General features: G+C 44.3%; 1 long non-coding RNA gene across 2 annotated transcripts in view; it reads right to left on the minus strand.

The window, feature by feature from the left end:
* Nucleotides 1-22,818, minus strand: part of LOC105376413 (uncharacterized) — a 70,155-nt gene that overhangs the window by 1,998 nt on the left and 45,339 nt on the right. The window lies entirely within an intron of this gene.

Here is a 22,818-nt window from a genome sequence, read left to right on the forward strand (position 1 = left end):
CCAGACTGGTCTCGAATTCTTGGGCTCAAGTGATTGTCCCGCCTCAGCCTCCCAAAGTGCTGGGACTATAGGTGTGAGCCACTGTGCCCAGCCAGAAAATGCATTTGAACTTCATGACTGGAACTTTCTCCAAAGAATGACATAGATATGTAATATTAAATCCATAGACAAAGAAATGAACATAAATTGACGGTGAATAACACTTTTTTTTTTTTTGAGACAGAGTCTCACTCTGTCGCCCAGGCTGGAGTGCAGTGGCGCGATCTCGGCTCACTGGAAGCTCCACCTCCCGGGTTCACACCATTCTCCTGCCTCAGCCTCCCGAGTAGCTGGGACTATAGGCGTCCACCACCACGCCTGGCTAATTTTTTTGTATTTTTAGTAGAGACAGGGTTTCACCATGTTAGCCAGGATGGTCTCAATATCCTGATCTTGTGATCCGCCCACCTCGGCCTCCCAAAGTGCTGGGATTCCAGGCATGAGCCACCACGCCCAGCCTACACTTTCACAACCATAAGAAGATAGTTCTTCAATTGTTCATTAATCAAGACTCATAATCAGAAACTATGAAAATCAACCCTAACTGATCTGAACAGAAAAAGAATTTCTTGAAAGGTATCAGTGACTCTGGGAACTACTGGAGGCTCAGAAGTTACCCAGTGGGGCCCACGGCCATAATGAGGCTGTCCAGGGAGAACCCCACTATTGCCACCATTGCTAAGCAACAGATGACATAGTTGATGCCGTCCAACCAATCACATTGGACAGTGGGTGTTGTACTGCACCACTGAGTCCCTTCCTCGCCTTTCTCCCATCCCTGAACCTGGTTGTCGTTGCCACCACCACCACTGCCCCGGAAATTCTCAGCATCCATGACTGTTTTCATGAGCTGCTCCCAATTTAAAACATACTGATGCATAAAATTGGCTCTGCCTAGGTTAAATACCTACCCAATACCAGCAAGGGAAGCTGGGAGGCTTAAGTATTTGCATTTTCTATTTTCTGTAATAGTAGAAGAGCTCTGCCTCCCCCAGGACTCATTAGGTGGAAAATGCCTCAAATACATGAAAAATTTCAAATTCTAGATAGCAAAAAAGAAATATTGATTGCACATTGATTATCAACTTTTATAATCAATCTATCGACAAATCAAAGTTAACTAGAGTTAACTTGATCAGAGTTTAAATATTAGCATTCACAATAAAATGATAAAGATGCAGCTGATAGAGATGGGAAGAAGAAAAGGATGATAATGATGAGTAGTAACAAAAAAAGAACAAGAGGCAAGATTTTCATCTGCCTAAGTGAGGAATTGAAAGATACCATCTATAAAATAAAAAATAGAGGGTTGGGTATCATTTTTTAGCTTGGAAATAGAAATTAAGAGAGAGAAATGGAAGATTTTTTTCTAACTGTACTGGAAAGAAAATGGGAGAGGATGCTAATCTTAAGTTACATACTTCACTATGATATAAGGAAGTCAAAATACAATGCCTAACATTTATAAATCAAGAAATCACTGTACATGCATATTATTTAGAGCTATGGGAAAAAAATACCAGAAATGGTAGAAGATGGGGGCCAGTAAGGTGTGGAGAAATGGATTCCAGAACTTGCTTTTCATTTCAAGTTCTTATGTATAAGTTGATTTTTTTAAAGCTCATACAGGCATTATCTTGATTTTTTCATGTAGCCTGGGAGATTCTTCAATGGAAAGATTCTGTCTCTCCCTCTCATATTCATAGGTTAAAACCTTATACATTTAGATCACTTATTAATATTTTTCATAAATAGAGAAGTATTTCCCGCAAGAAAACCTCACATCTTGATCATATTCTTATTCTAATTCAAGTTTCTGTTTATCTGTTTACTCTAAATATTGTTATCTTGCTTAATCTGAGATGAAATCTTCTTGATGACATTCCAGAATTCTGTTCCGGCTTCGGTAATACAGAAGAAAAAAAGCATCCAGAATAGCATTCTGCTGCCTCACCTTTTAAAGTCCTGTATGTATAAATGTGTGTGTACAGATGTGCATACTAGGATATGTGCAACCCATATCTCCACAAGCCACGTCACTTGGAATTACAGAAACTCCAGCCCTCCCCAAATGGCACCACTCCCCCATGTCTTATCCTCTTTCATCTACAGCCTGGTACCCACAATATTCCTCCCAGGGTCCAGCTGCCCTGGAATATCCCTCCCCTGAAATGTCACCTGGGCCCCCTAATGAGCCAAGGAAATTTTGTAAAACACTCCTTTTATTGTGCTTTTTTATTAGAGTCCCTTCTTCTTAGGGCCCAAGCAAGAATCTCTGAGAGCCAAGCCAGAGGCAAGGTGATGGAATGAGCACTGGAGTCACGCCCACTTGCCCATCGTGTTAGTCAGCGTGGGCGGCTCTAACAGAATATCTAGACTGGGTCTACGATAAACAGCAGAAACTTCTTCCTCACAGTTCTGGAGTCCGGAAATCCCAGATCAGGGCAGCAGCATCATTGGGTTCTAGTGAGGGCTCTCTTCCAGGTTGCACATGGCCGCCTTCTTGCTCTGTCCTCATGTGGCAAAAAGTGCAGAGAGAGCTCTCTGGGTTCCCTTTTATAAGGGCACTACTCCTATTCATGAGAGCTCTGTCTTCATGACCTAATTGTCTCCCAAAGGCCCCATCTCCTAAGACCATCAATTAGGGGTAAGGACTTCAACATATGAATTTGTGAGGCACACAAACATTCAATTCCTAGAGCCCATTGTCTTTGACCGCCATGTGCCCTTTGACTCTCCCTTCCATTAAGATAACTTTCCTTGTGGATTTCCGGCTCTCTCGTAGGCTTGCTAAATACCAGGGTAAACACAATTTGTGTGTGTTGCTCAAACGTTGCATAATTCTACACCCTCGTTATAGAGAGATTAAGCTCATTTGAAGGTTGAGGTCAGTCCCTGGTCTGCTAATTACCCAAGATAGAACTGGGTCACTCAGGAACTAAAAGTACAGGAGAGGGAACTGGGGGTTGGGTCCTGCTGTGGTGTCTGCAGATAGCCTGTCAAAAGAGTAACCTGGAGGAACACAAGGAGGCTTGAAGCACCGGGTAAGTCTAGCTATGGTACAGGCTCAGTGGCCAAGGCAAAAAACAGTCCAGATTGGAACTATCACAAATACACATCCACATACAAACACACACCAAGGCCCAGGGCCAAGAAACACATTCCAAAACCCAGGGCATCGGAGGCAGTCCAAACTGACTAAGCAAGATGGCACATCAGTAAGTCAAGCTGATAGAACACTGAGATGAAGAGTCAGATATCCAAGTCTAGAAGAGTGTCTCAAGCCAGGGACAAATCCAACTATCCACATTAAGAAGTCCTGCAAGTCATTAGGGACAGCACTTAAAAAGGAGACAAGCTGGGGGCAGTGGCTCACGCCTGTAATCCCAGCACTTTAGGAGGCCAAGGCGGGTGGATCACCTGAGGTCAGGAGTTCAAGAGCAGCCTGGCCAACGTGGTGAAACCTGTCTGTACTAAAAATACAAAAAAAACATAGCTGGATATGGCGGTGTGTGCCTGTAATCCCACCTGCTCAGGAGGCTGAGGCAGGAGAATCACTTGAACCCAGCAGGCGAAGGCTGCAGTGAGCCGAGATCATGTCACTGCACTCCAGCCTGGGTGACAGACTGAGACTCCATCTCAAAAAAAAAAGAGAGAGACAGTAGACAGACAGTGAGTAATTTTTTTTTTTTTTTATGAGACAGAGTCTTGCTCTGTTGCCCAGGCTGGAGTGCAGTGGCGCGATCTCAGCTCACTGCAACCTCCGCCTCCCGGGTTCAAGTGATTTTTCTGCCTCAGCCTCCCAAGTAGCTGGGTCTATAGGCGTGCACCACCACGCCCAGCTAATTTTTGTATTTTTAGTAGAGATGAGGTTTCACCATGTTGGCTTGGCCAGGATGGTCTCAATCTCTTGACCTTGTCATCTGCCCGCCTCGGCCTCCCGAAGTACTGGGATTACAGGCGTGAGCCATCGCGCCCTGCCAGTTTTTTTGTATTTTTAGTAGAAACGGGGTTTCACCGTGTTGACCAAGCTGGTCTGGAACTCCTGACCTCAGGTGATCCGCCTGCCTTGACCTCCCAAAGTGCTGGGATTACAGGCATGAGCCACCGCACCTGGCCAACAGTGAGCAATTCTATGGCTATGTGTGACTAGAGTCCTCTGGCTTACATATAATACCTCTTAATTTTTCATTTGTCCTCCCTTAGAACTTACTAAGTCTTTTTGAAAACGCCATCCTGCACAGATGTGGGAGGGACACTTTGTTTACATTGGGGGTACATTGTTACTGGAGAAAGTCCCTGGAGCCAATGGTCATCACAGTGGAGAACCCCAAAGGAAAACCCCAAAAAAGGAGTGTTTCGGGGAGACTGGTCCTATTGCCTGCCATACCCCCAACCCCGTAAACCCTCCCCTCTGATCCTTCCCAAGCTAAGAATTTAGGGGTTTTGTGACTTGTGTCATAAACGGGATGTTTCCCTTACAGTTTTTACAAGAAGTCCAGACTTGAATATATCAAGCAGGAAACAGCTTAGAACAGGTATCTGAGCAGTAACATCGTCAAGATACCATCTAAACTGAGGGTAGGATCTCGAGGCTAAGATACAAGCTAATTGGGTCATAGTAATGAGTGGGTAGAGTGATGTGGCAGAGACTAGCTATGCATCCATCAGATTTACCTCCTGTCCTGACCGGGCGCACAGCTACGTCTCATTTCCAGATCCTTTGCAGGCAGGTGTGGTCATGGGACGGAGTTCTGCTCAAAGTGGGCAGAAGTGATGTGCACCACTTCCAGTCCACAACCAGGTAAACCTCCCAAAGGCCATCCTCTGTGCTCTTTCCCCTTTCCAGAGCAACTTTGGGAGCCACGTGTGGAAGATGGCATGGATGGGATTAGCTTGGGTCTTTGTATCTCTGCTGCTGAACATGATCACCGAGTAGGATCAACCACTTGGACTTTATCTTCATGGGAAATAAAACTCTCTCGTGTGGCAGGCAGCTGCTGAGATTTGAGGGGTCAGTTATTGCAACGGCTTGCCTGACTTTACAATTACCTTTATAAATACCAAGAAAACAACCAAAAGATGCCCAGACAGGTTGGTCTCCGGTCCAGCCTTGCACATCACAAGATTGCTGTCAGCAGCCCCGGCTGAGTCTTCCACTCCGTATCTGCCCTTCATCTCACCTTCTATTCATAGCCAAGCTTCTTGAAATAGGAGTCTGCGTGTATTGCTCCACTTCCTCTTCTCCCACTCATTCCTTGCTTCATAGAATCTAGATCATACCCCACACCCTACTGAAACTGCGCCTGTGACCTCCCGGCTATCAAATCCAACCTAACACTTTTCAGTCCTTATGGCGTGGCTTTTAATATGCAACAACAGACTTCAAAAAATATTACATTTCTACGTTTCCTAAAACATTCATCTGCTTCCGAGCTTCCTGTCCCCCTGGGTAAGGAGGAAATCCCATCTCAGCCATTACAGAGGCTTCCGTCCCAGGCCCAGGGCCATGCAAGGTTCAGGAAGGCTTTAGACGGCATGGAACATCGGAGGCTGCTGGGTCTTTGGTGCATGAAAGGCTGGAGTGATATGCTTCTTGTCCAGCCATTTGCTTCCCTTGGAAGTGAGTGGCTCTCCTTCATCTGTTCTAAGCCAGGCACTATGTAGGCTGGAAAGCCTGGTGCCTCCCTGGATAGACACAGCACTGCCACCTACCCAGGGGGTTATCAGGAGAATCCACAGGCCTCCATTCATTTCCACATTCTTTTTCTTTTTTTTTGAGACAGAGTCATGCTCTGTCACCCAGGCTGGAGTACAGTGGTGCGATCTCGGCTCACTGCAACCTCTGCCTCTCGGGTTCAAGCAATTCTCCTGCCTCAACCTCCCTAGTAGCTGGGATTACAAGCGTCTACCACCATGCCCAGCTAATTTTTGTATTTTTGGTAGAGACTGGGTTTCACCATGTTGGCCAGGCTGTTCTCCAACTCCTGACCTCAAGTGATCCACCCGCCTCGGCCTCCCAAAGTGCTGGGATTACAGGTGCGAGCCACCGCAGCCGGCCATTTCCCCATTCTCTAAAACACTCTTCTCTCACTATCTCACTCCCAATTTTGCAATCTCCTTGGATGTCTTTTTTGCCTTTGAGCAATTCAGCATTTTTTTTTTTTTTTTTTTTTTTAGGTCCTGGAGGCCAAGGGAATCTTTCTTCTCCAAACTCAAAATCTCTTCTTGGTCTGGGGAAAGGTGAGACTATCTCTCCCAACACATTCACTCATAAATTAAAGCCTCAATGGGTTATCTTGGGGCTCTTACCTTGATCTCTCTGAGGCTTGAAACAATGTACCTTCATTGCGCGGCTCCTCTTCTTAGAATTATATGAACATTCTCTCTGAGTTCGTTTTCTTTCTTTCTTTCTGGTTATTTTAATTTATTTTATTTTATTTATTTATTTATTTTTTTGAGACAGAGTCTCACTCCGTCGTCCAGGCTGGAGTACAGTGGCACTATCTTGGTTCACTGCAACCTCCGCCTCCCAGGTTCAAGTGATTCTCCTGCCTCAGCCTCCTGAGCAGCTGGGATTACAGGTGCCCGCTACCATGCCCAGCTAATTTTTGTATTTTTATTAGAGACGGGGTTTCACCATGTTGGCCAGGATGTTCTCGAACTCCTGACCTTGTGACCCGCCAGCCTCGGCCTCCCAAAGTGCTGGGATTACAGGTGTGAGCCACCATGCCCGGCCTCTTTCTGGTTATTCTTTCTTAGGCCTCTTGTTTTTTTATTCCCAAAGTTATTTTGAACAAATATGTATTCTCCGTGTACATTTTTTAAGTTGATATAAAAAGTAAGCTATGTCTAAACAGCTGCAAAGAATAAATTTTATAGTATATTATAAGTATCAACATTCTGTTTTATTTTATTTCATTTTAGAGACAGGGTCGTGCTGTGTTGCCCAGGCTGGTGTGCAGTGGTGTGACCATAGCTCACTACAGCCTCGAACTCTTGAGCTCAAGTGCTCCTCAGCCTCCCAAATAGATGGAACTACAGACATGCACCACCATGCCCAGCTTTTTGTTGTTGAGTATGGTCTCAAACTCTTGGGCCCAAGCGATCCTCCTGCCTCAGCCTCCCCAAGTGTTGGAATGACAAGCATGAGCCGCTGCGCCTGGCCAGTACCAATATTTAAAATAAAACAATCAGTCGGGCGCGGTGGCTCATGCCTGTAATCCCAGCATTTTGGGAGGCCGAGGCGGGAGGATCACGAGGTCAGGAGATCGAGACCATCCTGACTAACATGGTGAAACCCCTTCTCTACTAAAAATACAAAAATTAGCCGGTCATGGTAGCACACACCTGTAATCCCAGCTACTCAGGAGGTTGAGGCAGGAGAATCGCTTGAACCCGGGAGGTGGAGGTTGCAGTGAGCTGAGATCGCACCACTGCACCCCGGCCAGGGTGACAGAGCAAGACTCTGTCACAAAAAAAAAAAAAAAAACTATCATATCATTCTTCAAAATAGATGTAATTAAATCTAAAATACATGGTGGTTTGTTAGTTATAGCCTACTGCATATTTTAAAAATGTTTATAATAGTTGGCATTTTATTAATATATAGTTTATTTTTCTCTTTGATATTCTATTTATTTTCCCACAGAATTAAACCCTTATGTAATACGTTTTATGCTTTATAGTCTTTTATTAATCACTACCTTTACTTCTCTGAAAATAGGTATAAATTAAAATTGTCTGCGCTTCCCATAGCTACAGGCCTCTAAGTATTAAAGATTTCCTCAGGATTGTGTTGTTATTACAATGATTATTGGTACACAATTGATTAAATATAAATTTAGTACATAATTATTAAACAAGGCTTCGTCTCAGTTTTATTGAGGTGTAATTTACATCACCCCCAAATTCACCCATTTTAAGTGTACGTTTTGATGAGTTTGGGCAACTGTGTTCAGTTATGTAACCAAAACCACAATCAAAATCAAGATATTTGCTGGGCACAGTGGCTCATGCCTGTAATCCCAGCCCTTTGAGAAGCCAAGGCAGGCAGATCACTTGAGGCCAGGAGTTTGAGACCAGCCTGGCCAACATGGCGAAACCCTGTTTCTACAAAAAGTACAAAAACGAGCCAGGCATGTTGGCACGCGATTGTAATCCCCTCCACTTGGGAGGCTGAGGCAGGAGAATCACTTGAACCCGGGAGACAGGGTTTGCAGCGGGCTGAGATCATGCCACTGGACTCCAGCCTGGGCTACAGAGTGAGACTCTGTCTCAAAGAAAAAAAAAAAAAAAGCAAGATATAAAACATTTCCTCAACCCCAAATTTTCCTCTTGCCTCTTTGCAAGCAATCCCCTAATACCTAGTTCCAAGCAATCACTGATCTGGTTTCTGTCACTTTAGTTTCGCCATAAAAAATTTTTATTGGAAATGTATCATTTAATAGATGAGGCTGGAAATACATATGTCTTTTCCCTTATAGTTTAGTTATCTGTTGGTAAATACGACCTTTTGCTAGAGTGAAGCAGGATTCAGCATCAATTTTATTCCTATTTTTCATTTTTATAGATGTAAGCTCTGAGACACTTTATTCACATAGTGGAAGGGAGAGGAAGTTTTTTTTATAGCAATTTCTTTCGATTCTTTGAATTCCTTTTGTGTTTAAGCCAAAAATCACAGAGTGAGCTATAAGCACAAGCAATCTATAGGGATTTAACAGCTGACAATTTAATAAGGTCCTACTTCAGCTTTGTTGAATGCAGAGCTGGAGGCCACTTGGCTGACAGAGGGTCTGTCACCTGGCACTGGAGTCATTTGCTGTCTCAGAACCAATATCAATGTTCCTAATTGCTGCTTTGTTTGGGGCCCCAGAGGTTTTCCACAGTCCAGCATAATGCAATACGGTGCTACGAAGAGTATTGCCTTTCCCTTGGAAAGTGGAAGAAAGGCAATATTGAACGGATAAGAACAGAGATACCACCCCACTCCCCACCTCCCCAGCACAGGCGTGTTCCCAGGCAGAGCAAGTGGAGGGAAGTTACAAACGGAAGTGAGAATCTCGAAATGGATTCTTGAAACCTGCATGCTCGCCTATGCCTTACAGTCTTCGGACGTGCCTAAAAGTGCTTGACCCCAGTTTCAAGGCCTCTGCCTTAAACAGCTAGTATGTGTTTGGATTCAGCTCCAGGTCATCTTCATCACTTCTGCTTCTCCACACTATCCTTATGTGACCTGATCCACACCTTTGGCTTCAACTCCATAGATGGGCTGATAACTCCCAAATCTCTTTTCTCCAGCTCAGACCTCTATCCTGAGTCTAACAACCACACAACCAATTGGCCATTCAACATCTTCACTTTCCACTTTTCTGAGTTAGAATGGATATGCTTGCTTTCTTTCCTTTTTTTTTTTTTTTTTAAACAGAGAGTCTTGCTCTGTCTCCCAGGCTGGAGTGCAGCGGCACGATCTCAGCACACTGCAACATCCGCCTCCCGGGTTCAAGCAATTCTGCTGCCTCAGCCTCCCAAGTAACTGGGATTACAGGTGTGCGCCACCACGCCCGGCTAACTTTTGTATTTTTAGTAGAGATGGGGTTTCACCATGTTGGCCAGGCTGTTCTCAAGCTCCTGACTTCAGGTGATCCACCCACCTCCCAAAGTGCTGGGATTACAGGCGTGAGCCACCGTGCCTGGCCGCATATGCTTTCTTATATGTACACACTTATCCTAACCTATATTTTGAAAAAAAAATTCAACCCCTTATATTGAATTGGGAACAAAGTACCTAACATTTTTCTGGCACTTTATAGACAAAGTGTTTTCATCTCTCTATGGGTGTGTTTATAGGATAATTTATATAATGTATACATGTGACTCTTAACAGCAAATGCTTGTATCTTACAGATGAAGAAACTAAGACTCAGTAAAATGAAAATTCTACTACATTCCAAAAAACATGAAGGAAACAAAAGATTCATTCTGTGCCGTGACTTGGTTGGACAGAAATGTCTTAAATAAAAATCAACATACGCCTATGTATAGCAGGAGGTACACTGATGTTCAGGCAGATAATAAAAAAGAATATTTATTCACAATTTTTAATAAAAAGTAGAATACATTTATAATCTATATAAAAGCACTTTATCTCATTTCCTTATGGAAATATGAAAAAATTAAAATGGGTTGGCTGGAAAATAAAGAAATCAATCCATAACATCTAAGGTCCAAAACAACCTGATTACCAAATACCAACAAATTAAGGGCTGTTCTGCCAGAAACAGGAGGTTAGATGTGTAACTTCCTTGGCTTCCTTCCAGCGATTTAATTCTACACAAAAGAAAAAAAAAAGGAAAGTGTGCCTATTCTTTTATGCATTGTATTTTCAACATATCATTCATTGAATGTACATTTCCTGCCCTAAGCAACATGTTTGTGGATTGAGAGGAAAAAGCAATCTCTTAGGCTAAATCTTGAACAAATGTTGTTTGTAACAAACCCCAAAACAAAAGGGCATCTTGGTAGTAGCTTGAGTTTCATACAACACAAATGTAAAATGTGATATTTTACAAATATGACAGGCAAGTGATCAACCAAGTTTTTTTTTTTTTTTTTTAAGACAGAGTCTCAGTCTGTCATCCGGGCCAGAGTGCAGTGGCGCGATCTCGGCTCACTGCAACCTCTGCCGCCTGGGTTCAAGCAATTCTCCTGCCTCAGCCTCCCAAGTAGCTGGGATTACAGGTGCCTGCTACCGCGCCCGGCTAATTTTTTTGTATTTTTAGTAGACGGGGTTTCACCATCTTAGCCAGGTTGGTCTTGAACTCCTGACTTCGTGATCCACCTGCCTCAGCCTCCCAAAGTGCTGGGATTACAGGCGTGAGCCACTGCGCCCGGCTGTGATCAACCAAGTCTTTAAAAATCTGCTTCTTTCCTCTCCCTCTCTTTCTCTCTTTTTGCTTTTTGCTTTAGTTCCTTTTTTTTTTTTTTTTTTAGACAGTCTCTCTCTGTCGCCAGGCTGGAGTGCAGTGGCACGATCTCGGCTCACTACAACCTCCGCCTCACGGGTTCAAGTGATTCTCCTGCCTCAGCCTCCTGAGTAGCTGGGACTACAGGCGCCTGCCACCATGCCCAGCTAATTTTTTTATTTTTAGTAGAGACGTTGTTGGCCAGGATGGTCTCGATTTCTTGACTCGTGATCTGCCTGCCTCGACCTCCTAAAATGCTAGGATGACAGGCGTGAGCCACCACACCCGGCCTGTTTTTCTATTTCTAGTCTTTGCATCTTGTATATTATTTCTGTACAGTTTATTATACATCTGTACAGTTTATTGTTTTATGCACACATCAAACTTTCCATTTCCTTCATTATATGTGTTACTCTCATTTTCATCTCCATTGTTTGTACATTTTTGAGATGTGGATGCAGAACTCTAAGCCTTTGCTGGTTGATGGTGAATGAAGCCTACTCTGTTACATGTTTTATCTGACAGAGGCCTACAAAGGTAAAAGTGCAGCCAGTCAATGAATGAGGGGAGGTGGGCTTTGAATAAGGGGATGGACACATTCCAGTTGAACCAATTTAAAGCTGTATTTCTGTCCGGGCACAGTGGTTCATGCCGGTAATCCCAGCACTTTGGGAGGCCGAGGTGGGCGGATCACTTGAGGTCAGGAGCTCGAGAACAGCCTGGCTAACACGGTGAAACCCCGTCTCTACCAAAAATACTAAAACCGGGCACGGTGGCGCATGCCTGTAATCCCAGTTACTTGGGAGGCTGAGGCAGGAGGATCCCTTGAATCCAGGAGGCGGAGGTTGCAGTGAATCAAGATCACGCTGTTGCACTCCAGCCTGGGTAACAAGAGCGAAACTCCGTCTCAAAAAGAAAAAAGTTGTATTTCATACTTGAAGCCTTTGACTCCACTTTCATTTGGAAATGATGGCAGGGTGGGGTGCAGAAGAACAGCTTCTATCTTAAGAACAGCTTCTCTTCTATCTTCCCTCTTAAAGGAAAGAGGAAGCTGAGGGTCTCCAGGACCTCCCAGGTCCAAGTGTCCCCAACTCCATCTCTGGACTGAGAGTTACTTCTCTAGTTCTCAGGTCAGCAGGTGGTGGGCCCTTTTTTGAAGTGTGAGCTCACAGGGCTGTTGGGCCTGGGGCCCAGATGAGAAACATGTTTCTCACCCATTTCCTCACTTCTGCCCGCCGTCCTCTGCCACCACCATGCCCTGGTCTCACGTCCTAACTCCATCTTATCAAACCAGAGACATAAGCCATAGGTTATTTATCCCCACCGTGAGAGTTAAATAAGACACAGCAACAGTGGCATCAAAAGGACACAGGATGTTACCAACATCACCAGATGTAATAATTTAGAATATGCTTATTGTCATACAATACAGTGGTATGGAGAATGAAACATTAAGGTCCCACTTTAGTTCCAAGCTGAAAGAGCACAGCTCCCTTCTCCCATAGGAATTTACTGTGAAGAGTTTGAGGTGAATCATTCCATTGTTATTTCCTTTTTTTTTTTTTTTTTTTTTTTGAGACGCAGTCTCGCTCTGTCACTCAGGCTGGAGTGCAGTGGTGCAATCTCGGCTCACTACAACCTCCACCTCTCAGGTTCAAGTGATTCTCCTGCCTCAGCCTCCCGAGTAGCTGGGATTACAGGTGCCCGCCACCACGCCTGGCTAATTTTTTTGTATTTTTAGTAGAGACAGGGTTTCACCATGTCGGCCAGGCTGGTCTTGAACATCTGACCTCAGGGTGATCCAGCTGCCTTGGCCTCCCAAAGTGTTGGGATTACAGGCGTGAGCCACTGTGCCCAGCTTGAAAATTTCAAACAGAAAAGTGGGAAGTGTGGTGGCTCGTGCCTGTAATTCCAGCTACTCAGGAGGCTGAGGCAGGAGAATAGAGTGAACTGGGAGGCAGAGGTTGCAGTGAGCCAAGATCTCACCACCACACTCCAGCTTGGGTGATAGAGCGAGACACCATCACAAAAAAAAAAAAAAGAGATGTGAATACTTAAAAATGGAAGAAATAGGCCAGGCTCAGTGGCTCACACCTGTAATCCCAGCACTTTGGGAGGCTTAAGTGGGCGGATCACCTGAGGTCGAGAGTTTGAGACCAGTCTGACCAACATGGAGAAACCTCATCTCTACTAAAAAAGTACAAAATTAGCCGGGCATGGTGGCACATGCCTGTAATCCCAGCTACTCGAGAGACTGAGGCAGGAGAATCGCTTGAACCCCAGAGGCGGAGGTTGTGGGGAGCCGATATAGTGCCACTGCACTCCAGCCTGGGCAACAAGAGCAAAACTCCGTCTCAAAAAAAAAAGGAAGAAATCATCATTTGCATCCCCAGGAATTGACTGTGTACCAAAGACTTTCCCCAAATTGATGATGAAAGATGCGATTATGAATAATGCTGGATTTTGGGGGGATGGTTGCGCCATTATCTTGATACAAATGCAGTGAAACATCACACTGTGTGTCAACCATCCAGAGCCAGCAGTAACCTGGCTGCATAAAATCTGAGTGACCGCAAATGCCAACTCCCTTTGTTTGGTTGGTCTGACTCCATACAACACTCCCTACGTTCACACCCACGAGGTCTGCGAACCCTCTCTTACTCATCTACTAGGATATTGGGTTCCATATTTATTTTAGTCCTCCTAAGTATCTACAACTGATAATAACTATTATTAATGATAACCAACTGTGCCCCAGGCCTACCTTTGGGCATTTTAGCTTCATGATCTCATTTCACCAGTGTAGCCTTTCTCTACAGATGAGGAAAATAAGTGACTACATAACTTTCGAATGTCCAAGTTAGTAAGAGTGTCAACCAATTCAGAGCCATCTGACTCCAAAACCTGTTACTCTCTGTACCACATCGCACTGCATCCCAAAAAAGTTTGATGTGAAGTTTGGAGAGTACATTCTTTAGACAGTATTGACACTTTATTTTGAGCAATGGTGAATTAGTCTCTCTCTGCTTTCTGCAGCCTCCCACAACCCAATTTTAGTTGGTTACATATTTTTAGTTCTTTACACTTCTAAGAATTTGTAGGTCATTTGAAATTGCAGCATAGAAATAAAGCTCTTGCGGGACTCTGATTGGAGAAAAAAGGTGGGAAACTGAGTTATCAAAATACACAGGGTGGGCCGGGCACTGTGGCTCACGCCTGTAATCCCAGCACTTTGGGAGGCCGAGGCGGGAGGATCACGAGGTCAGGAGATCGAGATCGTCCTAGCTAACACGGTGAAACCCCGTCTCTACTAAAAATACAAAAAATTAGCCGGGCATGGTTGCAGGTGCCTGTAATCCCAGCTACTTGGGAGGCTGAGGCAGGAGAATGGCCTGAACCCGGGAGGCAGAGCCTGCAGTGAGCCGAGATCGCGCCACTGCACTCCAGCCTGGGCGACAGAGAGAGCCTCCGTCTCAAAAAAAAAAAAAAAAAAAAATACACAGGGTGGTATAAGCATACAAAACTCAAAAGACTGTGTTCCACCCTTCAAATCCATATTCACATGGTGAGTGAGTGTAGTGTAAGAATCCCAGGGTGGGAACACGCAGCAGCTTACAACAGATCATGAATGGGCACAACCAACAATCAATTCAATTAATAAACTCTGTTAAATTAATTAATTATTTATTTATTTTTTGGAGACAGAGTCTCACTCTGTCACCCAGGCTGGAGTGCAGTGACATAATCTCGGCTCACTGCTCACTGCAACCTCTGCCTCCCAGGTTCAAGTGATTCTGCTGCCTCAGCCTCCCAAGTAGCTGGGACTACAGGCGTGCACCACCATGCCTGGCTAATTTTTGTGTTTTTAGTAGAGACAGAGTTTCACCATGTTGGCCAGGATGGTCTCGAACTCCCGACCTCAAGTGAACCACCTACCTCGGCATCCCAAAGTGCTGGGATTACAGGCATGAGCCACTGTACCCCATCAAATGATATTTTAAAAGTTTTTTGCCATCATATTTGGAATGTACTATTAGACGGTCTCTTCTAAATAATAAATATATGATATAAAATCATCTTTGCTAAAAAGGAAAATTATCAACAGAGATAATGACAAACATTATGATGGGCATGATACTCAAAATCAAAATCACCAAACCAACAAGTGAAGTCTCAACCATAGAAATAATTTTTCTACTATAAATGCCAATAGAAGTGATTTTATTCCAGCAAAACAATAGCATCTGTCATACTAAATGCTAATTTGTTTTATGAGTTTTGCAATTATGCTGGTACTTAATATGTTTTGATTTTACGGTTGTCCAAGAGCCACAAGCCTAAGCTTACATTTGGTTTTGAATATTTAAATACAGGTATTATCAGAATTCTTTCAGTTTTAAGTGACAAAAATCTCAAACCAACCTGGTTGTGGTCATTCCTCACACCCCACCTTTATATCCTTGCTCTAATCAGTTTCTTGACCCAAAACTTTGTAGCCATCTCCTTACCTACACCCCATAACTAAATATAACCCAAGATTCTATTCTCAGTCCTCTTTTCTTTTTCTTTTTTTTTTTTTTTTTTTTTGAGACTCAAGCTGGAGTGCAGTGGTGCAATCATGGCTCACTGAAGCCTCAACCTCCTTAGGCTCAGGTGATCCTCCCACCTAAGCCTCCCAAGCCTCCCAAGTAGCTAGGACTATAGGTCACACCACCATGCCCAGCTAAATTTTTTGTAGAGATGGGGTTTCGCCATGATGCCCAGGCTGGTCTCAAACTCCTGGGCTCAAGTGATCTGCCCACCTCAGCCTCCCCAAGTGCTGGAATTGCAGGAGGGAGGCACCGTGCCCCGCCCTCTTTTCTTCTTCCTTTTGCACTTTCCTTTGGGGGAACTCATCTGCTCACACAGCTGTACTTATTGTGGAATGACTCCCTAAACTCTACACCAGCACCCACCATTTCTTCAAACCCACACTTCTGATTGCCCAGTGGTCATCTCTACCTCCTGTATAACATATCCAGAAGCAGATTTCTCATGATGCTAACGGAACCTAAGCTTCAGCCCCCAGCCCTCCCGCCCTTGAACTTGCTCCTAAAAAGCCCTAGAATCCCTTCCCTCTTTCCCTCCCGCCTTCCTTCTTTTTTTCCCCTCTTGTTTTGCGAAAGTGGATATTTTAATTACAGACTGCTATCTCTTTCCTCTCGGATTTTCTCTCCATCATACTTCCCCTGGAACAGGTACCATTGGAATGACTGTGTCATTTTGGATTCCAGCTAAGGGGAAGTTAAGTTAGGGATGCATCTTACTGTGTTTGGCCACATGTATCCACGTGGTTCGCAATCCCTCTGTCTATGATTATTACCAGCCATCTTGGTGTAAGAATGTCTTCCAGAAATGTCCCTACTGTGCATGAGGGTGATGCACCCTGCTTTGTGACACAAGGGTGCAGGACCAGAAGGCATGCCATGCCGTCACGTGACCTATTGCACCGAGGACCAAAGATATTCAGGGAGTAGAAGAAAAGCAAGTTTGAAATGTGCAATGAGGAAGGTGCGGTGGCTCCCAAAGTGGTGGTAATCCCAGCACTTTAGGAGGCTGGGTGGGGAGGATTGCTTGAAGCCAGGAGTTGGAGACCAGCTTGGGTAACACAGTAAGATCCCATCTCTAACAGAAGAAGAAGAAAAAGGAGGAGGAGGAGAGGAAGGAAGGAAGGAAGGAAGGAAGGAAGGAAGGAAGGAAGGAAGGAAGGGAAGGCAGGAGAGAGGGAGGGAGGGAAGGAGGAAGGGAGATGTGCAATCCGTTTTCACTGAAGCCCAATAAGAAAGAAGTCCTCTCGTGTCAGGAGTAGTCAGTAACACAGCAGAGACCATTTCAGATGCACTGCTTTTTTCTCTCTCTCTTTTGACAGGAATAATAAGAAACAGAATCATTCTAAATTCTGGGTTTCTAGGACACAAACTAGTAGACCTACCAACAGCAAGTACATCTGTAACAGCCCATATGTGAAAAAACCTATCTCTATTTTCAGAATATTACTCCATAAAATATAATGAGATCATCTACAAAATAAGACATATCTACAAAATAAAGATATTGTCTCATATAATATTTGACCTATATTGCATAAATAAAGCTAGGTATATTTTCCCCCGTTTTCAAATAAGACCCACAGAAGTTGTCCAAGCCTGAACTGACACCAAACTCCCTGCCTTCTCTCAGCACAGAGGAAACCTCAGCGCCTGGCTAGCTGGTCCATGAATGCTGGCCTCGGCTCTTCTCATTATGGCGCACCAGGACAGGCGCCAATCTCACACTGCGGTGCCTGCTGGCTGCTGTGCTCACCATGATGGCTTGTGTGGTACACACAGACAGGGACATGGAGCTAATGATGTTGAAGTGCCAGGTGGCGTCTCTGCTGCTCTGGGGGGTACCGCCAATCAGCCCGAGAGGCTTGTCTGCTTTCATGTGCCACTGCATGCCTCCTTGACATGTGACTTTAGCTAGGAAAACTTTTTTCCCCCTCTAACTTTTTATTTTTAAAAAATGGCTTTCTAGAGAGAAGCTAAAGAATAGCACAAGGGGCCAGGTGTAGTGGCTCATGCTTGTAATCCCAGCACTTTAGGAGGCCGAGGTGGGCAGATCACCTGAGGACAGGAGTTCGAGACCAGCCTGGCCAACATGGTGAAACCTCGTCTCTACTAAAATACAGAAATTAGCTGGGCTTGGTGGTGTGCGCCTGTAATCCCAGCTACTTGGGAGGCTGAGGCAGGAGAATCTTGAACTTGGGAGGCTGAGAAATGAGAATCACTTAAACCCGGGAGGCAGAGGTTGCAGTGAGCCGGGTAGATCGCACCATTGCACTGCAGCCTGGGATAGGGAAACTCCGTCTCAAAAAAAAATAAAGTACAAGGATAGCTTTATACCCCTCATCCAGGTTCAAATAATTGTTACCATTGTGTATCATTTGTTCCCTCCCTTTCCCCCTGGCTCTGTCTCCACCCCCACATTTGAAACTAAGTTGCAAGACACCAGAGTATTTCACCCTGTAACCTTCTGCCTGTATCTTCTGAAAACAAAGACGTTCAGCTACAAAACCCTGGCCAAAACCATCACCAGCACCATCACATCCGAGACACAGAACATGGTACAGTAACACTCCCTAACATGCAGTCCACATTCCAGCTTCCTTCCCTGTCCACTAAATGCTTCTCATGGTCTTTTTCAATCTAAGACCAATCAAGGCTCTTACAGCTCACTTGGTTCTCATGTTTCTTTAGCTTTCTTTTATCTAGAACATTCTCCCTTTTTCGTTTTCGTTTTTTACATGACATTTTTGAAGAGTTTAGGGAAGCTGCCTTGTAGAATGCCCCCAGAATCCATATTTGTTTGATTGTTTCCTCATGTCTAGATTTGAGTTAAACATTTTTGGCAAAATATGACACAGTGTACTTCCCACTCCACCACAGCAGGGAGCAAAGAATAACAGACTGTCTCACTCTTGGTCATGCCAAGATCACTTGAGTGATAAAGTGAGACTTTATAAATCATGTGACTGTCCTATTTCCCAGCAATCTTCCCTACTGACACCTTGATTTTAGTCCAGTGGGACTCATTTGCACTTGTTTTGTTAAATATTGCCAGTGGTTTTATCATTATTATTAAATGGCTGCAAAATGTAATTTTTCTAATTCTACCATTCTGTCTACATTCATTAGCTAGCACTCTTCATAAAGAAGTTTTCCCTCCCCTGCATACCTACCTTTATAAAGTATTACTATTAAGTTCTTTCTGTGGGAAAAGGGGGAAAAAGTAATTAAATATATACATATATATATATAAACAGGAGGCTGAGGCAGGAGAATCATTTGAACCTGGGAAGCAGAGGTTGCTGTGAGCTGAGATCATGCCACTTGCACTCCAGCCTGAGTGACAGAGTGAGACTGTCTCAAAAAAAAAATTGGTTTTTTTTTAATTAACTTTTTTTTCTTTAAGTATTACTACATAGTATCTATAGCGGGTAGTATCACTATATAAAGTATCCCTAGAAACTCATGGATCCCTGTTTTATTCAGTGTGTTAAAACCACTGTCATTTATTCTTTTTTGGTAATCAAATTGTCCCGAAATTAGCCAGCAGAGTCCCCACAAGCAGGCTCCTCTGAACTTTTGTTGTTGTTGTTGTCATTGAGACAAAGTCTCGCTCTGTCACCCAGGCTGGAGTGCAGTGGCGTGATCTCGGCTCACTGCAACCTCTGCTTCCTGGGTTCAGGTGATTCTCATGCCTCAGACTCCCGAGTAGCTGGGATTATAGGTGTGTGCCATCACATCCAGATAATTTTTTATGTTTTTAGTAGAGACAGGGTTTCTCTGTGTTGGCCAGGTTGGTCTTGAACTCATGGCCATGAGTGATCTGCCTGCCTCGGCCTCCCAAAGTGCTGGGTTTACAGGCGTGAGCCACTGTGCCCAACCTGGCTCCTCTGAACTTTTAACACATCTCCTATCATCAGGCCTAGCTTCATGGGCTTGTGACCCCGTGCAAAGGCACAACATCCTGCACTTAGGAAAACTTTCTGCTTGGCTTCATGCTCTCCTGTCTCGAAAAAAAAAAAAGAAAAAACCGCCAAATCAATCACTTTTTGAGATGTTGTTTTGCATTTTAGAGGGCATTTCTTTATAATAAATTCACTGAGGCCAGGCACGGTGGCTCACGGCTGTAATCCCAGCACTTTGGGAGGCCGAGGCAGGTGGATCATCTGAGGTCAGGGGTTCAAGACCAGCCTGGCCAACATGCTGAAACCCCATCTCTTCTAAAAATACAAAAATTAGCTGGGCATGGTGGCAGGCACCTGTAATCCCAGCTACTCAGGAAGCTGAGGCAGGAGAATCGCTTGAATTCAGGAGGCAGAGTTTGCAGTGAGTCAAGATGGTGCCGCTGCACTCCAGACTGGGTGACAAGAATGAAACTCCATCTCAAAAAAATAATAATAATAATTGACATTGGATTGCAGAATCAAAAGGAATACAACCCTACTGACACCTTGATTTTAGTCCAGGGAGACTCATTTGCATTTGTTTTGTTAAATATTGCCAAATTCTCCTCCATAGAAGCTGTACCATTTTGCACTCTTGTCAGAAATGCCTGACAGTGTTCTTTCAGCTGTGAATACATTCACACAGAGAAACACCTGTTACAAGTGCCCGAGACTGGAGGGTCTGTGTCTGTGGGTATTGTCTATTGCCAGAAGGCCGGTCTTTTAACCCTTGCCACCATGAGTTTGCTGTGTATGTGTGTCCAATAAGACTCAATGAGAATCTACGCCAGCAAAAAAGAGGCCAGCCACAAAGAACAGCAGAACCTTTGTCTGGTGGAGGCTGGGCATGGTGGCTCACACCTGTAATCCCAACACATTGGGAGGCCTAGGCGGGTGGATCATCTGAGGTCAGGAGTTCGAGACCAGCCTGGCCAAAATGACAAAGCCCCATCTCTACTAAAAATACGAAAATTAGCCAGGCATAGTGGTGCACGCCTATAGTCCCAGCTACTCGGGAGGCTGAGGCAGGAGAATCGCTTGAACCCAGGAGGTGGAAGTTGCAGTGAGCTGAGATCATGCCACTGCACTCCAGCCTGGGTGACAGAGCAAGACTCTGTCTCAAAAAAAAAAAAAAAAAAGACTAAGATGGTGAATTTTAGTATATTTACATTTTACATAATATATTTACCACAATAAAAAAGAAAAAAAGGCTAGGCTTGGTGCCTCACGTCTGTAATCCCAGCACTTTGGGGAGCTAAGGAAGGTAGATTGAGCCCAGAGTTCAAGACCAGCCCGGGCAATATGGCGAAACCCTGTCTCTACAAAAAATAGGAAAATTAGCTGGGTGTGGTGGTGCATGCCTGGGGGCCCAGCTACTCTGGAGGCTGGGGTGGGGGATCGTTTGAGCCTTGAGAGGTGGAGGCTGCGGTGAGCTGAGATCTTGCCACTGCACTCCAGCCTGGGTGACAGAGCAGGACCCTGTCTCAAGATAAAGAAAGACAAAAGAAAAAGAAGAAGGTTTTGAAATTCCTGTCACACAATGAAGGGATCTCAGCTGGAGTTCAGACTATGACCATGTCCTGTGACAGGGCATATTTGGGCAGGTCTGGAAAAATGGTGTGGTGGCCTGAAAGTGGTTTACTTGCAAAAGGGCTGAGAACTCATTTTAAAGGAAGAAAGACGCAGGTGCCATGAGCCTGATCAAGGAACAAAGTCTTGCTCAGAGGATGACAGCAATTTTCCAATTCACATAGGGTCTCCTGTGATACACCCTCAAACACCTTTAAAATCTTCACAGCATTTCTGCAATCACAAATAAATACATGTGATACCTGTTCACCCATAGACTGAAAACTCCATGAGCAGGATCGTGACTATTGGATGCATGGCTTTGTCGCCAGGACCTGGCTTCATCACCCGGGCAGTCATACCTGCTCGTCCAGTATTTGAATGAATGGAGTTCAGCATGGTATGTTTCTATCCAGCACCGTGGAAGCGTGTCTGGATCTTAGGGTTATAGAAGATTGTAAATAAAATAACTGCTGCTGTGAATTCTGTAAAACTCTAGGGCGTAGGCAACACCACTTTACAGCCCTTAGAGAACATACCAGGGAGATGACAGCTATTCAGGTTTCGCTTTTGAGTCTCAGAACTTCAGAATTCACAGCAGCAAATCCTCTTGGTTGTAGGTCATGGCAAAGCATTCCCTGGCTTTTCTTGTCCTTTCAACCACCTCAGCCTATCCTAATGTCAGCCATTTTGAAGCTCTGCAACGGCTTTTCTCCATTTTCCTATATTCATATTTTGGAGCTGCATTCATCAAATTCACTATATTTAACTTTAATCGATTTTGTAACTGTTAATCTAATTGTTGAGATATCTTTGCAAGAGGAGAACTTTGCATTCCACTCATGTATTCCTTTCTTAGCTCATGGTTCATATTGATGCCAGTGGTTTATAATTCTTGACTTCAAACATGGTCAGCTGTTTCTGTTGTAATATCATTACCTGGTTTGCAAAATGAGTGGTATCTGGTAGGCACTCAGGAAGGTTTCTGACCTCTGTCGGGGTAATGAAGGCAAACTTAGAGACCCTAATTATGATACCTCACCACACACACCTTACCCAAATGCACTCTGGATGTCTGTGCTTGCTGGTTCTCCTTTGATTTTGTTACAGCATCAGGCTTCAATGTCAAGTAGTCTCAAAGCTCTCTCTTATCAATGACTTGGACCTCTTTTCATCTCCTGCTGGCTTGATAATATCTTTTTTTTTTTTTATTTTAAAAAGCCAACTCCATCTACCTCTTGCCTCTTACTTTCTCACTTGGGCTGTTTTAAATTTCCAGTAATGAAATTATTTCCCTCCTTGTTGACCAAGACTCACACTGAAATACTCATGCCTGGGCTCAACTTAATGGGCGTGGTACCCAAGCACACCATTTCACACAGGATGGAGTTGCTCTTTCCACAGAGAGACTAGAGTGATGGAAGGGGACTGAGACAAGTGGACGGTGTTTGGGGTCATTGAGATTTGCATGGAAGGAACTTTCTGGACGGGGATCCTCCTGCATTCTGGATTTGCTGTGTCTCCTCCAAGGTATAGCTGATGTTCTTCAATATGATTGCAGTGCTATTGTGGCAAAAACACCACATTGCATTTCAATAACATATCACTTTGCATCCTTCTCTATGTGCCACATGTTCCTGTTCATCACATCTGACTCTTGCCCCAACCCAGATCTGTGCTTCTGAACACACAAAATCTCCAGGTTTTGTAAATAAA

The sequence above is a fragment of the Homo sapiens genome, chromosome 10 (assembly GCF_000001405.40).
Source record: "Homo sapiens chromosome 10, GRCh38.p14 Primary Assembly".
NCBI classification, from domain to species: domain Eukaryota; kingdom Metazoa; phylum Chordata; class Mammalia; order Primates; family Hominidae; genus Homo; species Homo sapiens.